General features: G+C 36.3%; 1 protein-coding gene across 20 annotated transcripts in view; it reads left to right on the plus strand.

Annotated features, from left to right (window-relative positions):
• MYO3A (myosin IIIA) overlaps window positions 1–20,847 on the plus strand; it is a 278,304-nt gene that overhangs the window by 132,011 nt on the left and 125,446 nt on the right. For all 20 annotated transcript variants that reach the window (XR_930494.1, XM_011519498.3, XM_011519500.3 and 17 more), the window contains 4 exons: window positions 736–835; window positions 2,529–2,645; window positions 3,872–3,976; window positions 4,079–4,162. Coding sequence is in view for 19 of the 20 variants with exons in the window: in XM_011519498.3 (XP_011517800.1) it covers window positions 736–835; window positions 2,529–2,645; window positions 3,872–3,976; window positions 4,079–4,162 (406 nt within the window). In the remaining variant the exon portion in view is untranslated. The remainder of the gene's footprint in view (window positions 1–735; window positions 836–2,528; window positions 2,646–3,871; window positions 3,977–4,078; window positions 4,163–20,847) is intronic.

The following is a 20,847-nucleotide window of genomic DNA, read 5'->3' on the forward strand; positions in this document are numbered from 1 at the left end:
GATTCTTAATAACCCTCATAATCTATATATTCCTTCCCCTTTTACCAAGGGGCAAATCCAGATACTTAAGAGTATGTCCAAAAATAAATACCAGAAATACAATCATCCCCAAAATAAAATGGATGTCCAGAAAAGTTTAAATAAACCATTGTGTTTATCTCAGCAACTTCTCCTTTGTGTTAAATCAAGATCTTTATGCTGTTTTTGAAAGTTGTTGAAATGTTTTACTTTGAAAATAAACTTTTTGGTACATGAAATCTATTTTTACACACATCTAACCTTTTGAAAATTTATAATGTGATTTATTTTGTATTCCTGTTAAATTTTGCTGAATAGTAATTAAAAATGACCATACCTTGATCACCAATGACCTAACACTATCTCCAACAAAATTAGGAATGTAATGAATTCAAACCCTTCAGCCTCATCACCTTGTAACAGATTCAATCACACAGAAATTTAGAGGAAGCTTTAAAACAAATTATATAAAGATAGTTCTTGAAGGAAATTATGTACTCTTGATCATCCATGAAGTAAATTCTGTAATTTGCATTTTTCCAATGGAAAGGAGTAAACAAACAGTAAAGATCAAATATATTAGGCTATTTTCTGGTATCTTATCATTGAATTTAATAAACAGATTCCTAGAGGATTTTCAGTATCATATGTATCTAAAACTTTTTTCCACTATGAGCAGTAATCAATTCTTAAATCAGAAAGCGTTTTTCTCCACAGACGTGAACGTATTCACACGAAGAAAGGGAACTTCAACCGACCTCTAATATCCAATCTGAAGGATGTAGATGATTTAGCAACCCTAGAAATTTTGGATGAGGTAAGAATTTCAGTTTAATTAAACTTAGACATTCCAGATGTTTTGTTAATTTATAGAAGACACGGGTATTGGTAGAAGGGGAAGGAATATATAGATTATGATGGTTATTAAGAATCTTAACACTCACTCTGCCCATGTCTCCCATCTGTAAGTCTCATGCTTTCTTTGTCTCTTAGCTTCCTATTATTTCACTTATCTTCAGTTTTAATCTATATAACTCAAATTTCCAGATCTTTCCAGCCTAGTGTTCATTTTTGTCTGATGCTCAACTGATAGGGGTGAGGTCCTCGCAGTGTAAGTTGTTAGGCCACAGATCTTCCTTCTTTTTCATTATTTGTGGGAGTCTCAAAGATATGATTTATTGTATTCAAAGAGCAGTCAGCCTATTGTAACCACCATGTGGTGGCCTCCCGCTTTGTCCTCTCCTGTTTCAGCTCTTAGTGGCTGTACCCAGAAACTCTGGGATACCTCAACAGCCTGTCTGTTACCATGGTCAGTGTTCTTCCTCATGGGATCACAAAACCCTTGTTTCACACAGCTTATCTTTCGGGGGTATTGAATTCTGCTTGGAACTCCTTATTCTAATTATCTCAGAAGTATTTCAAACATTTTTGTGAAGGTAGAGATCCAAGCTATTAAATTCTAGTCTCAGCCTACTTTCCCCTCACCCTTCTTTGTTCCACGTAGTCAGATCATTAGAGAAATAAATGCCCTCTTTTTAGCAGAAGGTCAGGACTTCTGTCCTGCCTGATGAACACCTTTTTATTTTTTTTACACTGCTGATACATGCCTGAGCATTTGACTCAGAAATGTACCAATCAAGAGGTAAGTTCTGAATAGAGGTAGTCATTTGGTAAATTTAGGGTTGCATAAACAACTCAAGTACTTCCTCAAAATAATCTCAAGAACATCAAACATCTTGAAATCAAATCATGTTGGCAAGTCAGAGATTGCAGCACCTTTCTGAATTCTTACATATAAAATTTTTTAATAATGTGAATTCCTAGGCTTGTGGATTGCAAAGAAGTTTTCACTAATCATGTTGTTGACCAAGATATTAATATATTAAATGGTGGGTTTGTTTCTGTTGTCTATATTTTATTTTTAGTTTCTTTTTGGACCTAAGATCTTTTGCTCCTCTCTTGTGTCATGTACTGTAAATGGTGGTTTCCGACATTATCAAAATCAATTCATTTACTCAAATGACTTATCAACTATGAAAATTACATTTTAAAATTTTTCATAGTACTTCATAAAGCCAAAAGTCTGAAAAAATAAAAGGACTAGGACATTCCATAAAGCCACTGGATCACCTTGATTTGGAATTAAATCATATTCACTTTATCTTCCCTTCCCTTTTCTCTTTACTTCGTTTTTAATCTTTACATCACTTAGTGCTATTACTTCTTTTCTTGAAAGCATTATATATTTAAAATTCCTGTGACACATAATATGTCCTTTGGAAAATGCAGGTAACAATGACATCCTCTGTGGCTCTCAAAACCAAAGAAAATGGCTGTCAAGTGAATGAGTAGTTGCAGAGCTGATGTTACATGTTTTTTACTATCAGTGTGTCTGTTTTTCTAATCCTTCGTCCAGATTCCAGATGTTCTGTTTATTATTGTTTACTTTTTAAATTGTAGTTGACCACAAATAATTTTTAAGAAGGAGAAATTATTTTATTTTATTGCAGAATACAGTCTCAGAGCAACTTGAGAAGTGTTATTCCAGAGATCAGATCTACGTCTATGTGGGAGACATACTCATTGCTCTTAACCCTTTTCAGAGTCTGGGTCTTTACTCCACAAAGGTATGTCGTATGGGGTGCATTCTGTTACTTCATACACATAATTATACATTCAGATACTTAAATTAATTTAAATGAATGCCAGAAAATTTTATCCAGTATTTTGAATAAACAGTTACATAATTTTTGTTAAAACATAGAACTAGGAAAAATAGAAGATAGAGTCAATCTGGGTGCAGTTTGTGGTCTTGCTTTCTCCAAATGCGTGTGCCAGAGTGTTAATTACATTCAGTTATTGGTAACGGCTCTACATTAAATATTGTATCACTAAACAGATGCCTTTAAAAGCATATACTTAAATCTGCTTAAAAAGGTATGTACTTAATGTATGTCTGCCGCTGAACTGAGTATGGGAGCGTCAAAAGTATAATTACATTGTTTATGTAGATAATACATACTTAATGGCTTTAAAAATTGTCACTGTGAGTTAAAAATTCCTTTTGATGTATTATTGGCTTCATTAATATCACAAACATGTTTTATGAATATGAATATATAATTATCAATTATTTAACCACTGGTGGCTTACATATAGAATACTATTCTGGAATTAAACAAGGTTGTTTTTCATTTTTAATTGGACTCATTCTCTTCTGGCTATTTGTGTACTCCAGAAACTTATTTAATACTGTTCCTAATAGTTGTTTTTGTGTGTGAAAAGTACATATCTCTGTCATCTTTTGCCATCCTAAAATTTACAGAAATAACAGTAAATTTATGAGCCTTGACCTATGTTTCAGGAGATACGGGTTTTGGTGCAATCTTGCTATCAATTCACTGTGTGATCTTGGACAAATCAAATGAGAGAATGTATGTTAAATGACGTGAAAGGAAAAAAGTGGTTATCATGTGTGAGACATTATTATGTCCAAGGAGCAGTTAACAAACTGAAACCCGATCGTCTTATTTTTAATGTATGCTTTCATTTAAATACATAATGGAATTTTGAAACCTTACATTCTGCTTTGGAAGTGGAATGCAGAATCTTTTAAATTACTTTATGTCATATCATATTTCTGGGCTGTTTTGTGTCAGGCTCTTATTTTACATAGTTATACATTTAGATATATGTGCAATATGTGTGTAACATGTATGTAATAATGTTTTGGTGGAATGAAATGGTGTTTTTATTTATACTTTGCTTTAAAAATTGGAGCTATATTTGTAAATAATTCAGGACTTAAATAAAAACAAAAAGCCCTACAAAATGTATTCTTTTTAACCTTTAGCATTCCAAACTATATATTGGATCAAAGAGAACTGCCAGTCCTCCTCACATTTTTGCAATGGCTGACTTAGGATATCAATCTATGATAACATATAATTCAGATCAGGTAAGAAGAGTCTCCCATTCTTAGAAATTTACCTCTTAGTTACTTAAATGTCACTTAATTTTGAGGATAAGGTCTTCTCACAGTTTTCTTTTCTATGTATAGTGCATTGTTATTTCTGGAGAAAGTGGTGCTGGAAAGACTGAAAATGCTCATCTTTTAGTTCAGCAGCTGACAGTGCTTGGAAAGGTATAATTTATTTTTTTCTCTGTCCCATCAGAAATATTTGTTGAATTTCATAACTTAATATAACTGATTAGATTAATATTCTCTAGTATCTCACATTTAATAATGTACAGAAATTTTAAAATACAGTTGTTATCCTTTGAGAGTTTAAAATAATGAGCAATATGAAAAGCATGTACTCTGTTTTGAGGATTTTCTAACTTTTATCACACTTATTAGGCAAGGCTTATAAAGGTGATTTTCATTGTTTTTAGTCCCAGTGCATTTATTGAATGCTTTCTTTACTTTTTCTCCTTTTGTTGCTAGCAGGTTAAAAGAGAGTCAACAAACAAAAATCAATTGTGTTTACATACCATATGTATATACTAGTAATGGTCAATTGCAAATTGAATCTTAAAAGTGCCATTAACAATAAAATCAAAAAAACATGAACTATGTAGATCTAAATATTATATGTGCAAGATTTGTTTGCTGAAAACTGAAAGAGTTAAAAGAAATAAAAGACCTAAATAAACGAAGAGATATAACATGATCATGGATTAAGTGACTCCATATTATTAAGACGTCAGTCTTCTACAAATTGATCTATAGATATAATGCAATTACAATAAAAATCCAAACAGGATTTTTTTTTTGGTGGGAATTGACAAGGTGACTCAAAAATATATATTGAAGGGCAAAGGAGCTAGAATAACCAAACAATCTTGAGAAAGAACAAAGTTGGAGGATTCATGCAACCTTATTTCCAGACTTGCTGTAAAGCTGCAATAGTCAAGACAGTGTGTCATTAAAGAAAGGATGACATACAGATTGACTGAACAAAATAGTGAGGCTACTCATATATGGTTTATTGATTTTTGACAAAGTTGTAAAATTCATTAATTAAGAAAGGTGGTCTTTTCAACAAATAGTGTTGAAATAATTGGATAGGCCCATACAAAAAAAAGAACATTAATCTATACTCACATGTTATACAAATTTTTAACTCAAAGTGGATCATAGATCTAAACATAAAACCAAAAGCCATAAAATTTCTACAAGAAAACGTAGGAAAAGTTCTTTGTGATGTTGAGTTAGGTAAAGAGTTCTTAGATTCAACACAAAATGCATAATTTATACATGGAAAAATTTGATTTTGTCAAAATTAAGAATGTCTGTTCTCTGAGGACACTGTTACAAAAATGAAAACACAACCCACAGACTCAGAGAAAATATTTGCAAGACACACAACTAGTAAAGGACTTGTATATGAAAAAAACTCATACAAATCAATAAGAAATGAAATGACAATTTAAAAACAAACATAATGTTTGAACAGTCACTTCACCAAAGAGGATATGTATGGTACGTAAACAAATGAAAAGTTGCTCAACATCAGTATCATTTGGGAATGCAAGTTAAAACCACAAGAAAACACTATTACAAAACTATTAAAATGGCTAAAATGGCTAGTGTTTTTTAATCTAACAATACCAAGTACTGAAAAAGATATGTGTATTACTCCATTCTCACACTGCTATAAAGAACTTTCCGAGACTGGGTAATTTATAAAGGAAAGAGGTTTAATTGACTCACAGTTTTGCATGACTCGGAGGCCTCAGGAAACTTACAATCATGGCAGAAGGTGAAGGGCAAGCAAGGACCCTCTTCACATGGCAGCAGGAGAGAGAACAGTGAGAGAAGGAGGAACTTGCCCAACACTTATGAAACCATCAGATCTTGTGAGAATTCACTCACTCTCATGAGAACAGCATGGGGGAAACTGCCCCATGATCCAGTCACCTCCTGTCACCTCCTTTGACATGAGGGGATTACAGGTCCTTCCCTAGACACGTGGGGATTACAAATCAAGATGAGATTTTGGTGGGGACACAGAGCCAAACCATATCAATATGTGTTACCAAAACACCAGGGGTTTGGTCTAGGTCCTGCTACTTGCTGCGCAGGAAGCCAATGACTGAGATGATGAGTATTGCCAAAGAACTAGGCTTTAATCGGGTGCTGCACCCAGGAAATGGGAGCTGTCTCAAATTTATCTCTTTGACCAATTAAAACTAGGGGTTTACATAACAGGGAAGACATGTAAGAATGTGTAAGAACACAGAAACTAGGGAGAGACAAGGAAGCAATAATGATGAATGTGGGGTCTGCATCTTATTGTCTGGATGTGGTGATCTAGTGAGTTTCAGTTCTTTGATACTTTTTTTGAGAGGCCTGAAGGTGGTTCATCAGGAGGGAACTCAGATAAAACAAATTGTAAAGTTCAAGCTCCAAGACCAGAAGGGTCAATTTTCTATGTTTATAAAAAAAAAAATCTGTGGGACTATTGGGTTTCATATGGAGCAACTGGAATGCTCATATATTTCTGGTGAGAATGCAAAGTGGTACAGCCACTTTGGAAAACAGTTTGGATGTTTCTTATAAGCTCCACTTACCATACAACCTAGCAGTTTTACTGCTATGTGCTTATTCACACGAAATGAAAACCTATACAGAAACCTATAGACAAAGATTTATAGAGACTTTATTTACAAACTCCAGAAAGTGGAATAAACAAACTATAGTACATTCATACAGTGAAATATTACTCAGCAATAAAAAGGAATAAACATTGAGTCCAGGAGTTCAAGACCAGCCTGGGCAACATAGCAAGACCTCTATGAAAAAATTTAAAAGTTAGCCAGGCATGATGGCACATGCCTATAGTCCCAGCTACTTGGGAAGCTGAAGTGGAAGGATTGCTTGAGCTAAGGAGGTTGAGGTTGCAGTAAGCTATGATGGCACCACCGCACTCCAGCCTGGGTGACAGAACAAGACCCTGTCTCAAAAAAGGAAAAAGAACAAACACTGATACAAGCAATAATGAATTCCATTTAATTATTTTTGGATGAGGCCGGGAGTGGTGGCTCATGCCTGTAATCCCAGCACTTTGGGAGGCCAAGGCGGGTGGATCAAGAGGTCAGGAGTTCAAGACCATCCTGGCTAACACTGAAACTCCGTCAGTACTAAAAATACAAAAAATTAGCCAGGCGTGGTGGCAGGCGCCTGTAGTCCCAGGTGCTTGGGTGGCTGAGGCAGGAGAATGGCATGAACCTGGGAGACGTGAATGGCATGAACCTGGGAGGCAGAGCTTGCAGTGAGCCGAGATTGCGCCACTGCACTCCAGCCTGGGCAACAGTGCAAGATTGCGCCACTGCACTCCAGCCTGGGCAACAGTGCAAGACTCCGTGTCAAATAATAATAATAATAATGATAATAAATAAATAAATAAATAATTATTTTTAGATGAAGCTCAAATGCATTATGCAAGTCAAAGAAGCCAGAATCAAAACACTGCATACTGTGTGATTCAGTTTACATGCCATTCTTGCAAATTTAAAACAATACAGACAGAAGCAGATCAGTGATTATCAGGAAATGGGGGTGGAGAGAGGGGTTCACTGCAAAGAGTCATGAGACAATTTGGGGTGGTGAAGGAATTATCCTATATGTAGACTGCGATGGGGATTACATGATGGCACATGTAAAAACTCTCAGAGCTGTACAGTATAAAGGGTGACTCTTACTGTATGTAAATTATACCTTAATTGTTTTCAAAAAAGGAAGCTGAGGATACACACTTTGATTTTCCAGGTAAAGATCTTAAAGTAAGATAAAATTGTATTTTAATAACATTAATGGCCAAAAAAGAAAAAAAACTGTTTACAATTTATGCCTGTAAAAATTTTTATTATGATCTATATGGTTATAATTAGTCATGTTAAAATTTTTGCCAATTCTGTGATTATAGGAATCTTGTGTTGCAAAACACCAATAGGTTCAAGGTTAAACCTAATCTCTCTATAAAAGAGTGAGGCTGCATAGTTCAAAACAACTACTTAATTGAATTTAATTCACTTTTTTCCTTATGCATTTGGAATTTATTCTGATTTATACTGCCATGAATGGATCAAATTGTATCTTTTTGTCATATAGCTATTCAGTTATCCCAATACCACTTATTAAAAACCCATTCTTTCCATAAATTTGAGATGCCACACTTATACTATACTAAATATCCTCATGCAGTTTGGTCTACTTCTGATTTTCTGTTCTGCTCCTTTGGCCTTAGTGTCTGTTCATGCACCAGTGTCACACTTTTTATTGCTGAAGTTTTATATACTTCATTTTTTTCTTTTATATATATATAAAATATATAATATATATTATATTTAATTATATATACAATAATGTTATATATAATATAACATGTAATATATCGTTTGCAAATACTTTTTCCTAATCCACAGGCTGCCATTTCATTTTGGTGATTGTTTCCTTTGCCATGCAGGAGCTTTTGACTCTGACATAGTCTTATTTTCTTTCTTTGCTTTTTTTGCATGAGCATTTGATGTGATATCCAAAAAATCATTGCCAATGCCAATGTCCAGAAGCTTTTCCTCTATGTTCTCTTCTAGAAATTTTATAGTTTGTAGTCTGATATTTAGATCTTTTATCCATTTTGAGGTGATTTTTTGTGTATGGTATAAGATAAGGATCAAATTTCATTATTTTGTGTGTGTAAATCCAGTTTTCCCAGCACCATTTATTGAAAAACTATCCTTTCTTTATGATGTCCTCTTAGTGCCCCTGTCAAAAATCAGTTGACCGTAAATGTTTGGGTTTATTTGAGGGCTTTCATTTCTATTCCACTAGTTGATGTGTCTGTTTTTATGCCAGTACCATACTGCTTTTATTACTATCAACTTTGTCATGTAGTTTTAAATCAGGAAGTAATGATGGCTCTAAATTTTTCTTCCTCAGAATTATTTTGGTTAGTTGAGGTTTTTTATTATTTCATACAAATTTTTGGATTTTTTCTTTTTTAATTTTTATTTATTTTTTTTAATTTTTCCATAGTTATCGGGATACAGGTGGTATTTGGTTACATAACTAAGCTCTTTAGTAGTGATTTGTGAGATTTTGGTGCACCCATCACCCAAGCAGTATACACTGCACCATATTTGAAGTCTTTTATCCCTTGCCCTGCTCCAGTTCTTCCCCACAAGTACCCAAAGTCCACTGTATCATTCTTATGCCTTTGCATCCTCATAGCTTAGCTCTCATGTATCAGTGAGAACATACGATGTTTGTTTTTCCACTCCTGAGTTACTTCACTTACAGTAATAGTCTCTCATATATATATATATATGATATATATATGTCTCTCTCATATATATATGATATATATGTCTCTCATATATGATATATATGTCTCTCATATATATATGATATATATATGTCTCTCTCATATATATGATATATATATGTCTCTCTCATATATATATGATATATATGTCTCTCATATATATGATATATATATGTCTCTCTCATATATATATGATATATATGTCTCTCTCATATATATGATATATATATGTCTCTCATATATATGATATATATGTGTCTCTCTCATATATATCTATATGTATCTCACAGTTTCTTTATCCACTCATTGATTTATGGGCATTTGGGTTGGTTCCATGATTTTACGATTGTAAATTGTGCTGCTATAAACAGGCGTGTGCAAGTATCTTTTATGAATAATGACTTATTTTCTTCTGGGTGGATACCCAGTAGTGGAATTTCTGGATCAAATGGGAGTTCTACTTTCAGTTCTTTAAGAAATCAGCATACTGTTTTCCATAGTGGCTGTACTAGTTTACATTCCCACCAGCAGTGTAGAAGTGTTCTCTGTTCACCACATCCACACCAACATCTGCTGTTTTTTGATTTTTTGGTTATGGTCATTCTTGCAGGAGTAAGGTGGTATCACATTGTGGTTTTGATTTGCATTTTCCTGATCATTAGTGATGTTGACCATTTTTTCATATGTTTGTTGGCCATTTTTACATCTTCTTTAGAGAATTGTCTATTCATGTCCTTAACCCACTTTTTGATGAGATTGTTTGTTTTTTTCTTACTGATTTGTTTGAGTTCATTGTAGATTTTGGTTATTAGTCCTTTGTCAGATGTATAGATTGTGAAGATTTTTTTTCCCACTCTGTGGGTTTTCTCTTTACTCTGCTGACTTTTCCTTTTGCCATGCAAAAGCTCTTTGGTTTAATTAGGTCCAAGTTATTTATCTTTGCTTTGGTTGCATTTTCTTTTGGGTTCTTGGTCATGAAATCCTTGCCTATGCCAATGTCTAAAAGGGTTTTTCCAATGTTACCTTCTAGAATTTTTATAGTTTCAGGTATTAAGTCCTGAATCCATCTTGAGTTGATTTTTGTGTAAGGTGAGAGATGAGGATCCAGTTTCATTCTCCTACATGTGGCTAGCCAATTATCCCAGCACCATTTGTTGAAAAGGGTGTCTTTTCCAGATTTTATGTTTTTATTTGCTTTGTTGAAGATCAGTTGGCTGTAAGTATTTGGATTTATTTCCAGGTTCTCTATTTTGTTCCATTGGTCTATGTGTCTATTTTTATACGAGTACCATGCTGTTTTGGTGACTATGGCCTTATACTGTAGTTTGAAATCAAGTAGTGTGATGCCTCAAGATTCGTTCCTTTTGCTTAGTCTTGCTTTGGCTATGTGGGCTCTGTTTTGGTTGCATATGAATTTTAGAATTGTTTTTTCCTAATTCTGTGAAGAATGATGGTGGTATTTTAATGGGGATTTCATTGAAGTTGTAGATTGCTTTTGGCAGTATTGTCATTTTCACAATACTGATTCTACCCATCCAGGAGCATGGGATGTGTTTCCATTCATGTCATCTATGATTTATTTCAGCAGTGTTTTGTAGTTTTCCTTGTAGAGGTCTTTTAGCTCCTTGGTTAGGTATATTCCTAAGGTTTTTTTTTTTTTTTTTTTTTTGCAGCTGTTGTAAAAGGGGTTGAGTTTTTTGTTTGATTCTCCACTTGGTTGTTGTTGGTATATAGAAGAATTACTGATTTGTATATATTAATCTCGTATCTGGAAACTTTGCTGAATTCTTTTATCAGTTCTAGTTTTCTGGAGGAGTCCTTAGGGTTTTCAAGGTAAATTATCATATCATCAGCAAATAGTGACAGTTCGACTTCCTCTCTACTGATTTGGATGCCCTATATTTCTTTCTCTTTCTGATTGCTCTGGCTAGGACTTCCAGTGTTATGTTGAAGACGAGTGGTAAGAATGGGGATCCTTGTCTTGTTCCCATTCTCAGAGGGAATGCTTTCAACTTTTCCTCATTCAGTATTACGTTGGCTGTGGGTTTGTCATAGATGGCTTTTATTACATTAAGATATGTCCCTTGTATGCTAATTTTTCTGAGAGTTTTAATCATAAAGTGATGCTGGATTTTGTCAAATGCTTTTCCTGCATCTATTGAGATGATCTTGTGATTTTTGTTTTTAATTCTGATTATGTGGTGTATCACATTTATTGACTTGTGTATGTGAAACCATCCCTGCATCCCTAGTATGAAACCCATTTGATCATGGTGGATTATCTTTTTGATATGTTGTTGGACTCAGTTAGCTAGTATTTTGTTAAGGATTTTAGCATCTTTGTTCATCAAGGATATAGGTCTGTAGTTTTCTTTTTTGGTTATATCCTTTCCTGGTTTTGGTATTAGGGTGATGCTGGTTTTATAGAATGAATTAGGGACAGTTCCTTCTTTCTCTATCTTGTGGAATAGTGTCAAAAAGGTTAGTAACAATTCTTCTTTAATGTCTGGTAGAATTCTGCTGTGAATCCATCTGGTCCTGGACTTTTTTTTTTTTTTTGGTAATTTTAAAATTACAATTTCAATCTTGCTGCTTGTTATTGGTCTGTTCAGAGTATTTGATTCTTCCTGATTTAAGCTACAAGGGTTGTATTTTTCCAGGAATTTATTCATCTCTTCTAGGTTTTCTAGTTTATGTGTGTAAAGGTGTTCATAGTAGCCTTGAGTGATCTTTTGTATTTCAGTGGTGTCAGTTGTAATATCTCCTGTTTCATTTCTTAATGAGGTTATTTGAATTTTTTTCTTTTCTTTTCTTGGTTAATCTTGCTAATGGTCTATCAATTTTATTTATCTTTTCAAAGAACCAGCTTTTTGTTTCATTTATCTTTTGTGGGGTTTTTTGTTTGTTTGTTTCAATTTCATTTAGTTCTGCCCTGATCTTGGTTATTTCCTTTCTTCTCTTTGGTTTGGGTTTGGTTTGTTCTTGTTTCTCTAGTTCCTTGAGGTGTGACTTTAGAATGTCAGTTTGTGTTCTTTCAGTTTTTTTGATGTAAGCATTTAGGGCTATGAACTTTCCTTTTAGCACCGCCTTTGCTGTATACTAGAGGTTTTGATAGGTTGTGTCATTGTTGTTCAGTTCGAAGAATTTTTTAATTTCCCTCTTGATTTTGTTTTTGACTCAATGCTCATTCAGGAGCAGGTTATTTGATTTCCATGTATTTGCATGATTTTGAAGGTTTCTTTTGGAGTTGATTTCCAGTTTTATTCCTTCTGGTCTGAGAGAGTGCTTGGTATAATATAACTTCAATTTTCTTAAATTTATTGAAGCTCGTTTTATAGCCTATCATATGGTCTATCTTGGAGAAAGTTCCATGCACTGTTGAATAGAATGTATATTCTGCGGTTGTTGGATGAAATGTTCTGTATATATCTGTTAAGTCCATTTGTTCCAAGGTATAGTTTAAATCCATTGTTTCTTTGTTGACTTTCTGCCTTGATGACCTGTCTAGTGCTGTCAGTGGAGTATTGAAGTCTCCCACTATAATTGTGTTGCTGTCTATCTCATTTCTTAGGTCTATTAGTAATTGCTTTATAAATCTGGGATCTCCAGTGTTAGGTGCACATATGTTTAGGATTGCGATATTTTCCTCTTGGACAAGGCCTTTTACCATTATATAATGTCCCTCTTTGTCTCTTTTAAAGTTTGTTTTGTCTGATATAATAATAGCTACCCCTGCTTGCTTTTGGTGTCCATTTGCATGAAATGCCTTTTTCCACCCCTTTACTTTAAGTTTATGTGAGTCTTTATGTGTTAGATGAGTCCCCTGAATGCAGCAGATAGTTGATTGTTGAGTTCTTATCCATTCTGCAGTTCCGTATCTTTTAAGTGGAGCCTTTAGGACATTTACATTCAATGTTAGTATTGAGATGTGATATACGGTTGCATTCATCATGCTGTTTGTTGCTCGTGTACTTTTGATTTTGTTTTTTTGTTTCTGCTTTTAATTTATATTTTTGTTTCATAGGTCCTGTGTGATTTATGCTTTAAAGATGTTCTGTTTTGATGTGGTTCCAGGATTCATTTCAAGATTTAGAGCTCCTTTTAGCAGTTCTTATAGTGGTGGCTTGGTAATGGTGAATTCTCTCAGCATTTGTTCATCTGAAAAAGACTGTATCTTTCCTTCATATATGATGCTTAGTTTCGCTGGATACAAAATTCTTGGCTGATAATTGTTTTGTTTGAGGAGGCTGAAGATAGGGTCCCAATTCCTTCTAGCTTGTAAGGTTTCTGCTGAGAAATCTGCTGTTAATCTGTATGCTTTCCCTTTTAGGTTACCTGGTGCTTCTGTCTCACAGCTCTTAAGATTCTTTTCTTCATCTTAATTTTGGATAACCTGATGAGATGAGAGTGTGCCTAGATGAAGACCTTATTGTGATGAATTTCCCGGGTATTCTTTGTGCTTCTTGTATTTGGATGTCTAGGTCTCTAGCAAGGACAGGGAAATTTTCCTTGATTATCCCCACAAATATGTTTTCCAAGCCTTAAGAATTCTCTTCTTCCTCAGGGACAGAGATTATTCTTAGATTTGGTTGTTTAACATAATCCCACATTTCTTGGAGGCTTTGTTCATATTTTCTTATTCTTTTTTCTTTGTCTTTGTTGGATTAGGTTAATTTGAAGACCTTGTCTTCGAGCTCTGAATTTCTTTCTTCTACTTGTTCAATTATTTTGCTGAGACTTTCCACAGCATTTCACATCTCTAAAAGTGTATCCAAAGTTTCCTGAATTTTTTATTGCTTTTTCTTTAAGCTATCTATTTCCTTGAATATTTCTCCCTTCACTTCTTGTATCATTTTTCAGATTTCCTTGTATTGAGCTTCACCTTTCTCTGTTCCCTCCCTGATTAGCTTAATAACTAACCTCTTGAATTCTTTCTCAGGTAAATCTGGGTTTTTTTTTTTTTTCAGTTCAGATCCATTGCTGGTGAACTAGTGTAATTTTTTTGGGGGGAGGCGGGGCGGGGGTGGGTGTTGAAGAGCCTTGTTTTGTCATATTACCAGGGTTGGTTTTCTGGTTCCTTTTTATTTGGGTAGGCTCTATCAGAGGGAAAGTCTAGGGCTGAAGGCTGTTATTCAGATTCTTTTGTCCCACAGGGTGTTCCCTTGATGTAGTACTCTCCCTCTTTTCCTATGGATGTGGCTTCCTGTGAGCTGAACTGCAGTGATTGTTTTCTCTCTTCTGGGTCAAGCCACCCAGCGAGTCTGCCCAGCTCTGGGCTGCTGCTGGGGGTTGTCCACACAGAGTCCTGTGATGTAAACCATCTATGGGTCTCTCAGCCATGGATACCAGCACGTGTTCTGGTGGAGGTAGTAGGGGGAGTGCAGTGGACTCCATGAAGTTTCTTAGCTTTGGTGGTTTAATGCTCTATTTTTGTGCTGGTTGGCCTCCTGCCAGGAGGTGGCACTTTCCAGAAAGTATCAGCTGTGGTAGTATGGGGTGGAACCGGCGGTGGGTGGGGCCCTAGAATTCCCAAGATTATATGCCCTTCCCCCCCCCCCCGCCCCCGCTACCAGGGTGGGTAGGGAAGGACCGTCAGGCGGGGGCAGGGCCAGGTGTGTCTGAGTTCAGACTCTCCTTGGGCGGGTCTTGCTGTGGCTGCTGTGTGGGATGGGGGTGAGATTCCCAGGTCACTGGAGTTGTGTACCTAGGAGGATTATTGCTGCTTCTGCTGAGTCATGCAGGTTGTCAGGGAAATGGGGGAAAGCTGGCAGTCAAAGGCCTCACCCAGCTCCCATGCAAACTGAAGGGCGGGTCTCACTCCCACCATGCCCCCGCAACAACTCCGAGTCCATTTCTAGGTAGAGGGTGAAAATGGGCTTGAAAACCTGCCGCAGGCTATCCTCCTCCCAGCTGCAAAAGAAAAGTGCTTGGCTCTTCCCTGCCTGTGGGGTCTGCACACCAGATTGGCACCCTCCCCCGAGTTGGGGCCAGACTTCTCGCCCCATTCAAATTGTTACAAAGTTCAGCTAAAGATTTCCTTCTTCCTGTGCAGTTTTACCTCCTGCTCCTCTGACCACCCTACCATTGGATCCCTGTGGTGCCAGGCAGGAGTGGCCTGCTAGGGGACCCAGGAAGCTCCCAGGGCTTTTCTGCTGCTTCCTCTACCCCTATATTGTGCTTGGCTCTCCAAATGGATTCAGTTCCGTGTAAAGCCAGAAACTTCTCCCACAAACAGACCTTCACCTTCTCAGCTTCTCCAGTGGGGATGTGTGTTCGGGAGAGGAGGGTCTTCCTTTCCCACTTCTGCAGTTGGGACACTCACAGTATTTGGAGGGTCTCCCGGGTCCTGCAGGAGCAATCCGCTTTCTTTAGAGGATCTATGGGTCCTCTTGAGATTGCTGGTTTGTTCTTGCAGTTGATCTGGAGCTAAAATTCACAATGCAAGCCTCTGCACGCTGCTCTTTCTGGAGCTGCAATCTAGTCCTGTCTCCCATCTGCCATGATGATTGACCCTTCCTGGGATTGTTTTTTTCTGTTTCTGTGAAGAATGCCTTGGGATTTTGATAAGGATTGCATTGATTCTGTATATTTGAGTAGTATGGATATTTTAACAACATTAATTCTTCCGATCCCTGAGATAAATTTTCATTTATTTGTGTCTTCCTCAACTTCTTTCATCACTGTTTTATAGTTTTCAGTGTACAGATCTGTCACCTCCTTGGTTAAATTTATTCCTAATGTTTTGTTTTTATGCTTTTGTTAATGGGATTGCTTTCTTGATTTCTTTTTCAGTTAGGTTGTTATTTATTTATAAAAATGTTATTTACTTTTATATGTTGATTTTGTATCCTAAGATTTTATTGAGTTATTACTTCTAACAGTTATTTTTTTGGGATATTTGGGGCTTTTTACAGGTAGGATCATGTTATCTGCAAATGCAGTAGTCTCCACTTACCCCACAGGGGATATGATCCAAGATACACTTGTGGTTGCCAGAAACTGCAGATAATTTCAAACCCTATATATACTATTTTTTCCTAAACATCCCTATGATAAAGTTTAAATTATAAATTAGGCACAATAAGAGATTAACAATAACTAAAAATAAAGTATAACACTATACTGTAATAAAGGTTATATGAATATGGTCTCTTTCTCTCTCTCTCTTTTTCTCTCTCTCTCTCTCTCTCTCAGAATACCTTAGTTTCACTTGTTTCAGGGGATCCCTTGCTGACTTCTTTGTATAGGCTCAATGCTTTCTGGTGCAACCACTGACACCAATCAGAAAACATTTTCTGTTCATGTCTTCCACCCACAAATTTAATGCCTTTTAATCTTAACTGAGTACTGATCATGCACTGTGACTATGACTTTTGGAATATGATATGTGACAGTAAAACTAGCACAAGTTTCTTTTTCCTTCTTCACAATTTCACAGATAGTAGACCGCAGCATACAATTTTTTTTCTTCCCTTATGAAGTCAAGAACTTTCATCTTTTCACTTCAAGCAGGCAAATATGGTTTCTCTTTGTTGTATTCGAATTGTCAGCATGACTACTCTTGTGCTTTGGGGCCATTAAGTAAAATAAAGATTATTTGACTGCAAGAACTGTGATACTGTGACAAACTGAGAGGGCTACTAAGTTGGGTAACAGGTGGGTAGCATATACAACATGGATACATTGGGCAAAGGAAGGATTCACTTTCCAGGTGGGACAGAGTGGGGTGGCACAGATTTAATCACACTACTCAGAGTGGCATGCAATTTAAAACTTAGAAATTATTTATTTCTGGAATTTTTCATTTAATAGTTTTAGACCATGGTTGACTGTAGGTAACTGGCTCTATGGTAGAGATAATTTTACTTCTTCCTTTCTGATTTGGGTGCCTTTTATTTCTTTATCTTGTCTGGTTGCTCTTATTAGTACTTCCAGTACTATGTTGAATGGAAGTGAAGAGAGTGCGCATTTTTTGCATTGTAACAGATACTATTGGAAAAGCTTTTAGTTTCTCCTCATTGATTATAATGTTAGCTGTGAATTTTTCATAAATTGCCTATATTATGCTGAGGAACTTTCTTTCTATACCTAAACTGTTGAGAGTCCACATCAAGAAAAGATGTTGTGGTATGTTAAATGGTCTTCTATAACTCATATATATGATGTAGATTATTCTGTGGTTGAAAAATATTAAAAAATGTGTCTTCTCAACGTAAAGAAACTTATTACCACTTTGCTTAATATTGCTTTTCTATTGCCTAAGAAAAATTTATATAATTGTAGGTAGCTCCTGTATTCTTTGGGAATGAAAATGGTGATGCCAAAGAATATTTCATTCCTTCCAAAATGTCCTTTTTCTTCCTGCAGAATACTGCTACTTAATGGAAATCACAGCAAGACCAGCAATTTCTAGATAGTTCGTAAGAATCTGGGACATTCTGTCAATAGAAAGATAATAGCTATAGAAAGGCCTCTTATGAGTTATACCTTAGTAAATGCTTTTCTTTTTGTAATCTCATAGGAAAAATTGAATACAGCTTCCACTTTTAAAATTAAAAAAAGAAGAGGTGTTGGACTTTGTCAGATACTTTTTCTGCATCAGTTGAGATGATTATGTGGTTTTAATCTTTGATTCTGTTAATATGTTGAATCATATTGTTTGATTTGCATATGTTAAGCTAGACTTGCATGCCAGGGATAGATTTTGCTTGGACATGATGTATAATCTTTTTAATATGTTATTGGATTTGGTTTGCTAATATTTTATTGAGGATTTTTGCATCAGTGTTCATCAGAGAAATTGGCCTGTGGTTTTCTTTTCTTGTGATGCCTTTATCTGGGTTAGGTAGTAACGTAATGCTGGCTTCATAAATGTAGTTGAAGGTATTCCCTCTAGCTCTATTTTTTTAATTATTTATTTATTTGTTTTTCTTAGAGACAGAGTCTCACTCTGTCACCCAGGCTGGAGTACAGTGGCATAATCACAGCTCACTGCAGTGTCTGAACTCCTGGGCTCAAGCGACCCTTCTGCTTCAGCCTTCCAAGTAGCTGGGACTACAGGCATGTGCCACTGCACCTGGCTAATTTTATAATTCGTTGTACAGATGAGGTCTCACTTTGTTGCCCAGGCTGGTCTCAAACTCCTGGCTTCAAGCTGTCCTCCCATCTTGGCCTCTCAAAATGCTGGAATTATAGACATTAGCCACACTATGCCTGGCCTAGCTCTACTTTTTAGAAGAGTTTAAGAAGTATTGGTATTGATTTTCTTCAAATGTTTGGTGGAATTCAGCTGTGAAGCCACCTTATCCTAGGCTTTTCTTTGTTGGGAGGTTTTGATTACTTCTTCAATTTCTTTATTTGTTTTTGGTCTGTTCAGGCTTTCTAATTCTTTCTGACTCAATTTTGGTAGGTTGTATTTTTCTAAGAATTTATCTACTTCCAGGCTACCCAAATTGCTTGTAGATAATTGTTCATAATAGTCCCTATGATCCTTTTTATTTCTGATACACCTGTTGTAATTTCTCTACTTTCATTTTTTATTTTACTTATCTTAGTCATCTCTCTTATTTTCTTAGACTAGTTAAGGGTTTGTCAATCTTATTTTTTCAAAAATGAAACTCATTTTATTGATTCTTTTTATAGTTTTTCCTTTCTCTATTTGATTTATTTTTGCTCAGATTTTGATTTTTTTTCCTTTCTTCTGCTAATTTTGGCTTTAGCTTTTTCTTTATTTTTTAGTTCCTTGAGGCATTATGTTAGACTATTTATTTTGGAGCTTTCTTCTTTTTTAATGTAGGAATTTATTGCTACAAACTTCTGTCTTAGAATTGCCTTTGCTGCATTCCATAGGCTTGGTATGTTGTGTTTTCCTTGCTGTTTGTCTCAAGGTATTTTTTTACTTTCCCTTTTACTTTCTTCTTTGACCAATTGGTTGTTCAGGAGTACCTTGTTTAATTTCCACATATTTGATCATCTGTGATGCTCCTGCTTAGGTGTGCCAGAGGCTTGGAGGCTCAGGGTGCAAGGTGCCACCTCACCTGAGATGTGTGGTGGCAGCAACTACTTCAGTGTTCAGGAGGCCTGCGGCCCTCTGAGAGCAGAGTGCTGCCTCAGCTCTGGTGGAAGGGAGCTCCCTCAGCCAGGCTCAGAGCCTGTGCAGACTGCAGGGGTCTCCAGTCGCAATGACTGCAAGTGTCCACAGTAGTGAGAGAGGTTGCTGGGGTATCTTGCTTACCTTTTCCTTGCAGGGAGCTGTCCTTCCTTCCTGCTTGTGAGCTGATCCCCACTTGGGGCATGAGGTGGTAAAGGTAAGGTGTTTCTTTTCCTTCTCTATGTGGCCTTTCTGGGTTTCCGTGCTCTACAGGATTTCTTCTGGCTGCTTTTTTGCTGTTCTCCAGTGTGCTCCTTTAGTTATTTTGGTTTAAATGTACTTGTTTACTCATTTGCAGGTAGGGGGAGGCTTGAAGGTGTATTAGCCCATTCTCACACTGCTATAAAGAACTACCTGAGACTGGGTAATTTATAAAGAAAAGAAGTGTAATTGACTCACAGCTCCACATGGCTGGGAAGGCCTCAAAAAAACTTACAATCGTGGGCAGAAGGTGAAGGGCAAGCAAGCACAACAAAGCAGGAGAGAGAGAAAGAGGCAGCAAAGGGGGAAATGCCACTGTTAAACCATCAGGTCTCATGAGAACTCAGTCATTATCACAAGAACAGTGAGGGGGAAATCCGCCCCCATGATTTAATCACCTCTCACCAGGCCCCCTCCCCTGACACGTGGGGATTACAATTTGACATGAGATTTGGGTGGGGACACAGAGCCAAACCATATCAGAGGGAGAGCACTAGGAGCTTCTGGCCAACCATCTTGATGTCACTCCTAATTCAAAATGATGAGTAGGAAGAATTCCATGTTGCTGTTAAAAAATAATTGACTGGTTTTAGTATCTTCTATCAGATGTGTTGACCTAGTGGCTTAATATAACCTCTCCTTACCAGATTTGTGACCCTTTCGGGAGTGGAAGAGCCAGGAGAGACCTAAAAAAAAAAGGTGGTGCTACCCCAGGTGTCTGATCTCAGCCTTTTCTTCCCCCTTGCCCATCAACCACCCTCTCCTTACTTCTAGAAGTATCATTCTAAAAGGTTTTAACAACAGTGAGATAAGATTTAATGTGGGGCACGGGGGCAGTGAGGCACAGCATATTATCCTGGTGTAGAGGAGCTGAACACTTGAATGAATTTTCTCACGGGTCTTTGCTATTCTGTCCTGATCTGCAGGCTGATAGAGTTTCTCATCAATGATAAATTAATTGTGTGTGAATGTGGTTCTGTAGATGTCAGCAAACTTCTTAATCTAATCTCTTTGTCTTGTTTTAGATTAATGTTAATTGGGGATAGGTATATATATATTTTCAGATTCCTACCCTTATCACATCTTATCTTGTTTTTACTTATGTCCTTGATAAGGATTTACCAGATGCAAAAACGAGGTGTTTGGTAG

This window comes from Homo sapiens, chromosome 10 (genome assembly GCF_000001405.40).
Source record: "Homo sapiens chromosome 10, GRCh38.p14 Primary Assembly".
Taxonomy (NCBI): Eukaryota; Metazoa; Chordata; class Mammalia; order Primates; family Hominidae; genus Homo; species Homo sapiens.